The 10,404-nt window shown below is 56.0% G+C and overlaps 1 protein-coding gene across 4 annotated transcripts, besides 7 other annotated features; it reads left to right on the top strand.

The window, feature by feature from the left end:
• Positions 73-10,282, top strand: FKBP10 (FKBP prolyl isomerase 10). Of its 4 annotated transcripts, XM_011525099.4 has the most exons (11): positions 73-348; positions 4,127-4,272; positions 5,158-5,347; positions 5,451-5,596; positions 6,279-6,468; positions 6,599-6,744; positions 7,338-7,530; positions 7,776-7,832; positions 8,016-8,158; positions 8,723-8,886; positions 9,292-10,282. In XM_011525099.4, exons 1-11 carry the CDS (start codon positions 104-106, stop codon positions 9,475-9,477), a joined length of 1,806 nt encoding a protein of 601 aa, XP_011523401.1. In that variant the 5' UTR covers positions 73-103; the 3' UTR covers positions 9,478-10,282. The 4 variants fall into 4 exon arrangements, with proteins under 4 accessions (XP_011523401.1, NP_068758.3, XP_011523402.1 ...); NM_021939.4 differs by lacking the exon at positions 7,776-7,832; XM_011525100.3 differs by lacking the exon at positions 4,127-4,272.
• Positions 1,874-2,375: an enhancer, noted in NCBI's record as "H3K4me1 hESC enhancer chr17:39971057-39971558 (GRCh37/hg19 assembly coordinates)". NCBI's record gives its function as "activates a minimal SCP1, AML or CMV promoter by ChIP-STARR-seq in primed H9 embryonic stem cells {active_cell/tissue: H9 hESC(primed)}" and the evidence as "EXISTENCE:reporter gene assay evidence [ECO:0000049][PMID:30033119]".
• Positions 2,376-2,875: an enhancer, noted in NCBI's record as "H3K4me1 hESC enhancer chr17:39971559-39972058 (GRCh37/hg19 assembly coordinates)". NCBI's record gives its function as "activates a minimal SCP1, AML or CMV promoter by ChIP-STARR-seq in primed H9 embryonic stem cells {active_cell/tissue: H9 hESC(primed)}" and the evidence as "EXISTENCE:reporter gene assay evidence [ECO:0000049][PMID:30033119]".
• Positions 5,724-6,635: an enhancer, noted in NCBI's record as "H3K27ac-H3K4me1 hESC enhancer chr17:39974907-39975818 (GRCh37/hg19 assembly coordinates)". NCBI's record gives its function as "activates a minimal SCP1, AML or CMV promoter by ChIP-STARR-seq in naive and primed H9 embryonic stem cells {active_cell/tissue: H9 hESC(naive and primed)}" and the evidence as "EXISTENCE:reporter gene assay evidence [ECO:0000049][PMID:30033119]".
• Positions 6,154-6,203: an enhancer, noted in NCBI's record as "active region_12173". NCBI's record gives its function as "activates an Ori minimal core promoter by ATAC-STARR-seq in GM12878 lymphoblastoid cells {active_cell/tissue: GM12878}" and the evidence as "EXISTENCE:reporter gene assay evidence [ECO:0000049][PMID:35858748]".
• Positions 6,636-7,547: an enhancer, noted in NCBI's record as "H3K27ac-H3K4me1 hESC enhancer chr17:39975819-39976730 (GRCh37/hg19 assembly coordinates)". NCBI's record gives its function as "activates a minimal SCP1, AML or CMV promoter by ChIP-STARR-seq in naive H9 embryonic stem cells {active_cell/tissue: H9 hESC(naive)}" and the evidence as "EXISTENCE:reporter gene assay evidence [ECO:0000049][PMID:30033119]".
• Positions 8,467-9,065: an enhancer, noted in NCBI's record as "H3K4me1 hESC enhancer chr17:39977650-39978248 (GRCh37/hg19 assembly coordinates)". NCBI's record gives its function as "activates a minimal SCP1, AML or CMV promoter by ChIP-STARR-seq in primed H9 embryonic stem cells {active_cell/tissue: H9 hESC(primed)}" and the evidence as "EXISTENCE:reporter gene assay evidence [ECO:0000049][PMID:30033119]".
• Positions 9,066-9,662: an enhancer, noted in NCBI's record as "H3K4me1 hESC enhancer chr17:39978249-39978845 (GRCh37/hg19 assembly coordinates)". NCBI's record gives its function as "activates a minimal SCP1, AML or CMV promoter by ChIP-STARR-seq in primed H9 embryonic stem cells {active_cell/tissue: H9 hESC(primed)}" and the evidence as "EXISTENCE:reporter gene assay evidence [ECO:0000049][PMID:30033119]".

A 10,404-nucleotide genomic window follows, 5' to 3' on the forward strand; every position in this document is an offset into this window, starting at 1 on the left:
GAGGACAGGAAGAGGGGGAGCCAGTTCTGGGAGGCGGGGGGAAGGAGGTTGGTGGCGACTCCCTCGCTCGCCCTCACTGCCGGCGGTCCCAACTCCAGGCACCATGTTCCCCGCGGGCCCCCCCAGCCACAGCCTCCTCCGGCTCCCCCTGCTGCAGTTGCTGCTACTGGTGGTGCAGGCCGTGGGGAGGGGGCTGGGCCGCGCCAGCCCGGCCGGGGGCCCCCTGGAAGATGTGGTCATCGAGAGGTACCACATCCCCAGGGCCTGTCCCCGGGAAGTGCAGATGGGGGATTTTGTGCGCTACCACTACAACGGCACTTTTGAAGATGGCAAGAAGTTTGATTCAAGGTAACCCCGGTTGGGCGCCCCCGGATTCACCACTCCGTCCCCTGAACCCGGGGTCCTGTTTCCTTGTTGCCTCTTTTAAGCTCTGCATCCCAATACTCTAACCCTAGACAGCACCCCTGGGGCCTCCCAGACACCCATCTCCCCAAAGATACCCTCCTGCCCCCACTTCCAAACCCTCACTTCTCAAAGGATCCCATTTCTTTCTCACAAGCTCTCCACATCCCGGAAAGGACTCGATAATCAAGGTGAACTGCCTTGTGTAGTTACCAGGGCTGTATGTAATGACCTGATGGAGAGGGGTGTTCTGATCTACAGTGTTGGGGGGAAGGGGGTGGTCCCTGCTGCTTAAGAACCCTGGGATGGTCTATCAGCCTGGACCCCGTACCTTTCCACCCACCCTGACTCCCCTTCTGGTTCCACTGTTTTCAGTGCCTTTGTGGTCAGAGAAGAGGGAATAGAACTTTTTTTTGGAGGGGGTGGGAGTTTTCAGCGGCTGGTGGGCAGGGAAAAAGGCTGGTGGGTATTATAAGAAGACAGCCGGCTGGACCTGGGGGTAGCGCGTGGCTCCCTGCGGAGGCCCTGTCTACGTGTCACACAGTCGGACATGCCACCCTGGGCTCCTTGGAGGAATTTCATTCCTCCCTCTCTGGTTCTCCTGGAACCCTCATCTCTCTCCATTTTAGGTACACCAGGCCAGAGGCACAGGCCGCCCATTTTTGCCAGCCTTGGGGTTTGTAAGGTGGCCTCCTGGTCTGACCCAGGCCTTTGGTCTGCCCCAGCAAGTCCACTTTTGTTAGCGGGGACAGGGCAGGGCTGTATGCCAGCCTCAGGGGTAAATCTAGGGTCCCAGTTACACACAGACCCCACAGCACACTGAAAGAAGTCAGTGTTTCTTAGACCCTCCTCTGAAACACACAACTCAGCCCACAGGAAATTAGTGGCCATGACTTTAGAGGCAGGCATATATTGGGGTAAGCCTACAAACTCCAAGAGTCCCAAGACCCTGGTTCAAATCCAGGCTATGACCATGGACAGAGAATTTTGTCTCTTTAGGCATCACTTTCCTTATCTGAAAAGTGGAGACAAAAACAGGACCTACTTGCTAAGGCTGATGTTAGGACTCCAAGGACATGGATGAATGAACGTAGGCTTCTCACAGGGCCTGGCAGTCCTCCAGCCAGTTCAGCACACATTAACATTGACCCTGAGGAAAACCATATGACCTGATGCTGTGGAACTTGTAGAAACTTAATGCAGAGCTTAAGCCTTCATAACAACACTGAGAAGGAAACAGTCCAGACTTAAAACCTGTCTGCTTGGTGGGCAAATTCAGATATAGGGTAGTAGCCAGAAGTGCAGCCCTGAGCCCTTGACTGCTAGGAGTGAGGCAGGGGTTGGGATTTAGGGGATGTCATCCCTGATGGGGACTCTGGGAGCCCAGCTCATGAGTGTTGAGCTTGGAAAACTTTTTGTTTTTTAGCTGGAGGCTCACTCTGTCGCCCAGGCTGGAGTGCAGTGGTGCCATCTCAGCTCACTGCAACCTCCTGGGTTCAAGCAATTCTCCTGCTTCAGCCTCCCAAGTAGCTGTGATTACAGGCGCATGCCACCACGCCCAGCTAATTTTTGTTTGTTTGTTTGTTTTTGTTTTTTGAGACACAGTCTCACACTGTTGCCTGGGCTGGAGTGCAATGGAGCAATCTCAACTCACTGCAACCTCCGCCTCTGCCTCCCAGGTTCACGTGATTCTCCTGCCTCAGCCTCCCGAGTAGCTGGGATTACAGGTGCACACCACCACACCCGGCTAATTTTTTTGTATTTTTAGTAGAGAGGGGTTTCACTATGTTGGCCAGACTGGTCTTGAAAAAGGCGGGTGGGTATTATAAGAAGACAGCCAGCTGGACCTGGGGGTAGGGCATGGCTCCCTGCGGAGGCCCTGTCTGTCTACGTGTCACACAGTCAGACATGCCACCCCAGCCTCGTGATCCGCCCACCTCGGCCTCCCAAAGTGCTGGGATTACAGGCGTAAGCCACGGCGCCCAGCCTTAATTTTTCATATTTTAGTAGAGATGGCGTTTCACCATGTTGCTCAGGCTGGTCACAAACTTCTGAGCTCAGGCAATCCACCCTCCTCAGCCTCCCAAAGTGCTAGAATTACAGGCGTGAGCCCCCGCGCCCACACAACTTAGAAAACTTTTTTTTTTTTTGAGACAGAGTCTTGCTCTGTCCCCCAGGCTGGAGTGCAGTAGCGCGATCTCTGCTCACTGCAAGCTCCGCCTCCTGGGTTCACACCATTCTCCTGCCTCAGCCTCCCGATTAGCTGGGACTACAGGCGCCTCCACAATTTTTTTTGTATTTTTAGTAGAGACGGGGTTTCACCATGTTAGCCAGGGTGGTCTCCATCTCCTGACCTCATGATCTGCCCGCCTCGGCCTCCCAAAGTGCTGGGATTACAGGCGTGAGCCACTGCGCTCGGCCAGAAAACTTTCTTAACCCATGGCCCCTTCAATTAAAAAAAAAAAAATCTCCCATCCTCACTTTACTTCTGAAAACTTAAAATAAATTAAAAGTGTATATAATTGGCTGGGCACAGTGGCTCACTCCTGTAATCCCAGCACTTTGGGAGGCCCAGGCAGGCAGATCACTTGAGGCCAAGAGTGACCAGCCTGGGCAACATGGCGAAAGCCCTCTCTACTAAAAATACAAAAATTAGCCAGATATGGTGGTGCATGCCTGTGATCCCAGCTGCTACTTCGGAGGCTGAGGCAGGAGAATCGCTTAAACCCGGGAGGTGGAGGTTGCAGTGAGCTGATTGCACCACTGCACTCCAGCCTGGGTGACAGAGCCGAGACTCCATCTCCAAAAATACATATGTATAAGTAAAAATAAATACATTAATTAAAAGTGTATAACTAAAAACAAACAAAAGCCATGGCACTTTTAGAATAGGCTTTTTTTTTTTTTTTTTTTTTTGAGAGGGAGTCTCACTCTGTCGCCAGGCTGGAGTCCAGTGGCACGATTTCGGCTCATTGCAACCTCCGCCTCCCGGGTTCACGCCATTCTCCTGCCTCAGCCTCCTGAGTAACTGGGACTACAGGCGCCCGCCACCACACCTGGCTAATGTTTTGTATTTTTAGTAAAGACGGGGTTTCACTGTGTTAGCCAGGATTGTAGAATAGGCCTTTTCAAAATGTGAAACCAGCTCCCACCCCACCTCTGCTCTCCCGTCTTTTCTTGGAGAGCCAATAGTATAATGGCAAATTTTAGAACTCAGCTGACTACATATTAGCTGTGTGACCTTGGGCAAGGCACTGAGTCTCTCAAGTCTCCATTGCTCTCATTAAGAAAAATGAGAACAAGAATGCCCACCTCACAGGGGAGACAAAGAAGATACGGAATGTAAAATGCCAAGCATTTAATCCCATATAGTAATGCTCCTCTGCCCCTCCGTGCTGTACGTACCACTCCCCACTTGCTGTCAGCAAATAGTAGCAGCCATCAGGCCCGGGCATCCCACCCAACCCCGTCCCAGGGCAATAGCAGCCCTTGTCCTCCTCAGGGACTTGCCTTTCACAACAGTCCGTTCTCTTAAGGTGGGCGTCACGGCCGACCTAGGAGGGGGACTTGAAAAGGAGGTGAGAAGTGTGTGTGCGTATCCACACCTGGCTATAGGGAGGGGGGATTGTGTGCGTGTGTGCAGGCACACCTGTGCATCTGTGCCACCATGGGCAGTGTGTGTGTGTCTGAGGTCACTGTATCCCATCTGTCCCTCCCCCCCCAGCTATGATCGCAACACCTTGGTGGCCATCGTGGTGGGTGTGGGGCGCCTCATCACTGGCATGGACCGAGGCCTCATGGGCATGTGTGTCAACGAGCGGCGACGCCTCATTGTGCCTCCCCACCTGGGCTATGGGAGCATCGGCCTGGGTGAGAAGGGCTGGGGCACAGGCCGGGGGTGGAGGAGACCACGAGGCAGAATCAGGGATCCTGGGGTGAGAAAACTGAAGTGCGGAGATGAGGAGTGACTTGCCCAATGTCACACTGTGCACGCAGTATGAAGAGTGGCAGCTCTGGCTGGGGCAGTAGCTGACATATATGGTCCCAGAGTTTTGGGAGGCCGAGGTGGGAGGATTGCTTGAACCCAGGAGTTCCAGACCAGCCTAGGCAACATAGTGAGACCTCGTCTCTACAAAAAATAAAATAAATTATCCAGGTGTGGTGGTGTGTGCCTGTAGTCCCAACTACTCAGAAGGCTCAGGTGGGAGGATTGCTTGACCCCGGGAGGCTGCAGTGAGCCATGATCATGCCACTGAATTCCACCCTGTGTGACAGAGCAAAACCCCTCTTTTTTTCTTTTTCTTTTTTTTTTTGAGACAGCATCTCACTCTGTTGCACAGGCTGGAGTTTAGTGGTGCGATCTCGGCTCACTGCAACCTCAGCCTCCTGGGCTCAAGCAGTCCTCCCTCTCAGCCTCCCAAATAGCTGGGACTACAGGTGCACACCACCACACGTGGCTAATTTTTTGTATTTTTAGTAGAGATGGGGTTTCGCCATGTTGCGCAGGCTGGTCTTGAACTCCTGGGCTCAAGCCATCCACCTGCCTTGGCCTCCCACAGTGCTGGGATAACAGGCATGAGCCACTGTGTCTGGCCCCCTATCTCTTAAAAAAAAAAAACAAAAATAGTGGCATCTCTGTCCCTGGTTTGGGTCTCTTGGTGCTGGGATGAGAGGAAGGGGAATAACAGGGCCCTGGCTGGGATCGTGGTTGGCAGAGCAGAACTCTGAGACCTCCACGCTGCTGCGCTCTCACAGCGGGGCTCATTCCACCGGATGCCACCCTCTACTTCGATGTGGTTCTGCTGGATGTGTGGAACAAGGAAGACACCGTGCAGGTGAGCACATTGCTGCGCCCGCCCCACTGCCCCCGCATGGTCCAGGACGGCGACTTTGTCCGCTACCACTACAATGGCACCCTGCTGGACGGCACCTCCTTCGACACCAGGTGAGGGGCTGGAGGGGAGCCCTGAGGCACTGGGGACTGTGGCATGGGGAGCGGGAATCCGGGGCCCAGCCTGCCTCTCCCACCTCCACCTCATTTTCTGCAGCTACAGTAAGGGCGGCACTTATGACACCTACGTCGGCTCTGGTTGGCTGATCAAGGGCATGGACCAGGGGCTGCTGGGCATGTGTCCTGGAGAGAGAAGGAAGATTATCATCCCTCCATTCCTGGCCTATGGCGAGAAAGGCTATGGTGAGGGTGGGCAAGGACACAAGGGGAAATTCCGCAGAAGAGGGAAAAACCAGGCCTCCACATACAGTTGCTCAGGTTGTATACTGCACGAGGGCATCCAACCAAGGACTCAAGGTGGGATGAAATCTACCCTTGGTGCTACTAAGAAGGGGTGCTTTGGCCGGGCGTGGTGGCTCACGCTTGTAATCCCAGCACTTTGGGAAGCCAAGGCGGGAGGATCACGAGGTCAGGAGATCGAGACCACGGTGAAACCCCGTCTCTACTAAAAATACAAAAAAATTAGCCGGGCGTGGTGGGGGCGCCTGTAGTCCCAGCTACTCGGAGAGGCTGAGGCAGGAAAATGACGTGAACCCGGGAGGCGGAGCTTGCAGTGAGCCGAGATCGCGCCACTGCACTCCAGCCTGGGTGACAGAGCGAGACTCTGTCTCAAAAAAAAAAAAAAAAAAAGAAGGGGTGCTTTATTCTGATTCACACGAAGGCTCAGTATGAGCCGGTGGTGGCCCTGGGGAAAACCCAGCTCAGGTCTTACTGGAGGAGCAAGAAGCAGGGCTGCTGATGGGCGGGAAAGGGCTCTGGAGAGTGGGGCTAGTGTCTTGCATGGTGCCCACTGGGCCTTCCTGAGTCAAGAAGGAGCCTCGGCTTGCTCCCCAATTTTATGGTTCAAGCCCTATCCCTTCCCCAGGGACAGTGATCCCCCCACAGGCCTCGCTGGTCTTTCACGTCCTCCTGATTGACGTGCACAACCCGAAGGACGCTGTCCAGCTAGAGACGCTGGAGCTCCCCCCCGGCTGTGTCCGCAGAGCCGGGGCCGGGGACTTCATGCGCTACCACTACAATGGCTCCTTGATGGACGGCACCCTCTTCGATTCCAGGTCAGGAGGGTCTTGAGGTGGGAGGGCGGGGGCTGGGTGAAACGTGGACGAAGCTGGGGGTCACTCTGAGCTGCCTGGAAGGGGAGGGCCCCTTTGACTCCCTTCCTGGCCCTCCCGCCTTGTATTGCAGCTACTCCCGCAACCACACCTACAATACCTATATCGGGCAGGGTTACATCATCCCCGGGATGGACCAGGGGCTGCAGGGTGCCTGCATGGGGGAACGCCGGAGAATTACCATCCCCCCGCACCTCGCCTATGGGGAGAATGGAACTGGTAGGGGCGTTCCCCAGCCACCACCTCAGCTCCTCCTCCGAACTGCCCATTGTGTCTAGGCCACCCCCTCCCACAGTGGGATTCCAGGCACCGCTCGGCCCCTCTCATCACAAAAACATGCATGCAGCTTACATCTGGTCACCCCATCTGATTCCTGCCACACAGACTCCATCGGTTTCCTCCAGGGCAGCGCCCCACTTCGCCCCTTCCGCAGTGGAGAAGGGCAGCCAAGTTTGGGGAGGGAGGGTGGTTATGGAAAAACAGAACCAGCATACCCCCAGGACCCAGCTGTGCTGGGAGCCTCAGTGTCCTCACCTGTCAAGTGGGCAAGCCATGCTGATCCGCAGGGTAAGTTACTGGGAGTTTGCAAGACGGTGAGTGGAAAAGGGCTTTCTTACTGGAAAGCTGCCTTCCCCTGCCCCCTGCCCCAGTGAAAGTTTGTTAGAATTGACTCTGGACAAACATCCCGTCCCATCCTCCTTTGGATCCTCAGGGTCGGGAAGGGGTATCAGGTCTGGGGACCTCCATGGAGAGACCTCAAGTAGCCTCTCCTAGTGCTCTGAGCTGACCACACTCCCCCATTCTGGCCTCAGGAGACAAGATCCCTGGCTCTGCCGTGCTAATCTTCAACGTCCATGTCATTGACTTCCACAACCCTGCGGATGTGGTGGAAATCAGGACACTGTCCCGGCCATCTGAGACCTGCAATGAGACCACCAAGCTTGGGGACTTTGTTCGATACCATTACAACTGTTCTTTGCTGGACGGCACCCAGCTGTTCACCTCGTGGGTCCGGGGGGGGGCCGGGACTGGGCAGGTGGGTGGGCACAGGCATGGGGAGTCCTCCTCAGTGCACCCCCGACGCCTGCTCCTCCCTCTTGGTCCTCGAGCGCCAGGGGAGCATTCAACCTCTTGCTGCTTTCTGTAAGTCCCCATCTCGGAGCATGTCGAGGAGATGAAATTCTCTGCTTCGCAGGGGAAGGGAAGGTGAAGCCAACAGTTGGGGGAGAACTGCTCTTTCTATTTCACAGAGGGGAAACTGACGCAGGGAGCCATGAGCCCTCGAGGCCACACTTTAGGGGGCAGAGGCAAGATGAGAAGGGAACCCCACGTCTGCACAGCTGGGCCCCTGCACTCTGCTGCGTGGCCCAAGTCACCAGTGGGAGTAACTCCGGAACTGAGGGCTTGTTCTGGGCCCACCTCAGAGGGAGAGGGGTGTGCGCTGGCAGGGGACAGGGTGGCTGCTGACCTGGGCATCTGCTCTCCCCCAGGCATGACTACGGGGCCCCCCAGGAGGCGACTCTCGGGGCCAACAAGGTGATCGAAGGCCTGGACACGGGCCTGCAGGGCATGTGTGTGGGAGAGAGGCGGCAGCTCATCGTGCCCCCGCACCTGGCCCACGGGGAGAGTGGAGGTGAGGGGCTGAGACCATAATCTTTTTTTTTTTTTTTTTTTTTTTTTTTTTGAGATGGAGTCTGACTCTGTCACCCAGGCTGGAGTGCAGTGGTGTGCTCTCAGCTCACTGCAACCTCCACTTCCCAGGTTCAAGTGATTCTCCTGCCTCAGCCTCCCGAGTAGCTGGGATTACAGGCACCTGCCACCGTGCCCAGCTAATTTTTGTATTTTTAGTAGAGACAGGGTTTTGCCATGTTGGTCAGGCTGGTCTTGAACTCCTGACCTCAGGTGATCCACCCGCCTTGGCCTCCCAAAGTGCTGGGATTATAATCATGAGCCACTGCGCTCGGCCCGAGACCGTAATCTGACTGGCATCTGTCCCTTTTGCTCCTGCCCACTGTGGGTCTGATGACTGGTGGGAGGAGTCAGGAATGCCTTCAGGATGGCTCCTTAAACATCCCATGCCCCACTCTCCAGCCCAGCCCCAGGAGGGGAAACTGGCCTGTGGGCTGGGAAACAGTGAAGCCAGGCCCAGACCCCGGCCTGACTAGGACCCCTCCCTTCTCTCCTGCCCTCCCTCCAGCCCGGGGAGTCCCAGGCAGTGCTGTGCTGCTGTTTGAGGTGGAGCTGGTGTCCCGGGAGGATGGGCTGCCCACAGGCTACCTGTTTGTGTGGCACAAGGACCCTCCTGCCAACCTGTTTGAAGACATGGACCTCAACAAGGATGGCGAGGTCCCTCCGGAGGAGGTGGGTGAAGGTTCAGTCCTAATAGCCATGCCCACGCAATCCCCGCACCCAGGAAGCATCGAGGAAGAAGACGTCCCCCGTCCGGACTGCCCACCCGCCCTGGTGCTCCTGCCTGCGCTGAGTCCCACGCCTCAGGCTCCTTGTCCCTGCTTTTTCCTGGGCACACATGCAGGCTGTTCCCTACCTGAGACCAGTCACAGACTATCCCCATGCCACGCCTCCACCCCAGCCCCCACCAGGACCCCAGCACCAGTGCCTTTCCCAGCCCTTCCTGAGTTACAGGGTGCGGGGGAGCCTGGGAAAAAAGAAGAAAAAGAAAGCACTCACTGGCCTCCACCCGGGGCCCCTGCCCCTCCCAAGGCCATGACCCTCACTGCCCGCTCCCCCGGCTCTCCCCTGCCCCAGTTCTCCACCTTCATCAAGGCTCAAGTGAGTGAGGGCAAAGGACGCCTCATGCCTGGGCAGGACCCTGAGAAAACCATAGGAGACATGTTCCAGAACCAGGACCGCAACCAGGACGGCAAGATCACAGTCGACGAGCTCAAGCTGAAGTCAGATGAGGACGAGGAGCGGGTCCACGAGGAGCTCTGAGGGGCAGGGAGCCTGGCCAGGCCTGAGACACAGAGGCCCACTGCGAGGGGGACAGTGGCGGTGGGACTGACCTGCTGACAGTCACCCTCCCTCTGCTGGGATGAGGTCCAGGAGCCAACTAAAACAATGGCAGAGGAGACATCTCTGGTGTTCCCACCACCCTAGATGAAAATCCACAGCACAGACCTCTACCGTGTTTCTCTTCCATCCCTAAACCACTTCCTTAAAATGTTTGGATTTGCAAAGCCAATTTGGGGCCTGTGGAGCCTGGGGTTGGATAGGGCCATGGCTGGTCCCCCACCATACCTCCCCTCCACATCACTGACACAGCTGAGCTTGTTATCCATCTCCCCAAACTTTCTCTTTCTTTGTACTTCTTGTCATCCCCACTCCCAGCCCCTTTTCCTCTATGTGACAGCTCCCTAGGACCCCTCTGCCTTCCTCCCCAATCCTGACTGGCTCCTAGGGAAGGGGAAGGCTCCTGGAGGGCAGCCCTACCTCTCCCATGCCCTTTGCCCTCCTCCCTCGCCTCCAGTGGAGGCTGAGCTGACCCTGGGCTGCTGGAGGCCAGACTGGGCTGTAGTTAGCTTTTCATCCCTAAAGAAGGCTCCTTTCCCTAAGGAACCATAGAAGAGAGGAAGAAAACAAAGGGCATGTGTGAGGGAAGCTGCTTGGGTGGGTGTTAGGGCTATGAAATCTTGGATTTGGGGCTGAGGGGTGGGAGGGAGGGCAGAGCTCTGCACACTCAAAGGCTAAACTGGTGTCAGTCCTTTTTTCCTTTGTTCCAAATAAAAGATTAAACCAATGGCCTTAGGGTGTCTTTTGGACCAGGTTGAGGGGCAGGGGGGAATGGCTAGGGGATGAAGTGGGGATTGTGGGAGGCCTTTAGACCCAGAGATTGGGGAAAAAGTTAAACCAGGCTGTTTC

Source organism: Homo sapiens, chromosome 17 (assembly GCF_000001405.40).
Source record: "Homo sapiens chromosome 17, GRCh38.p14 Primary Assembly".
NCBI classification, from domain to species: domain Eukaryota; kingdom Metazoa; phylum Chordata; class Mammalia; order Primates; family Hominidae; genus Homo; species Homo sapiens.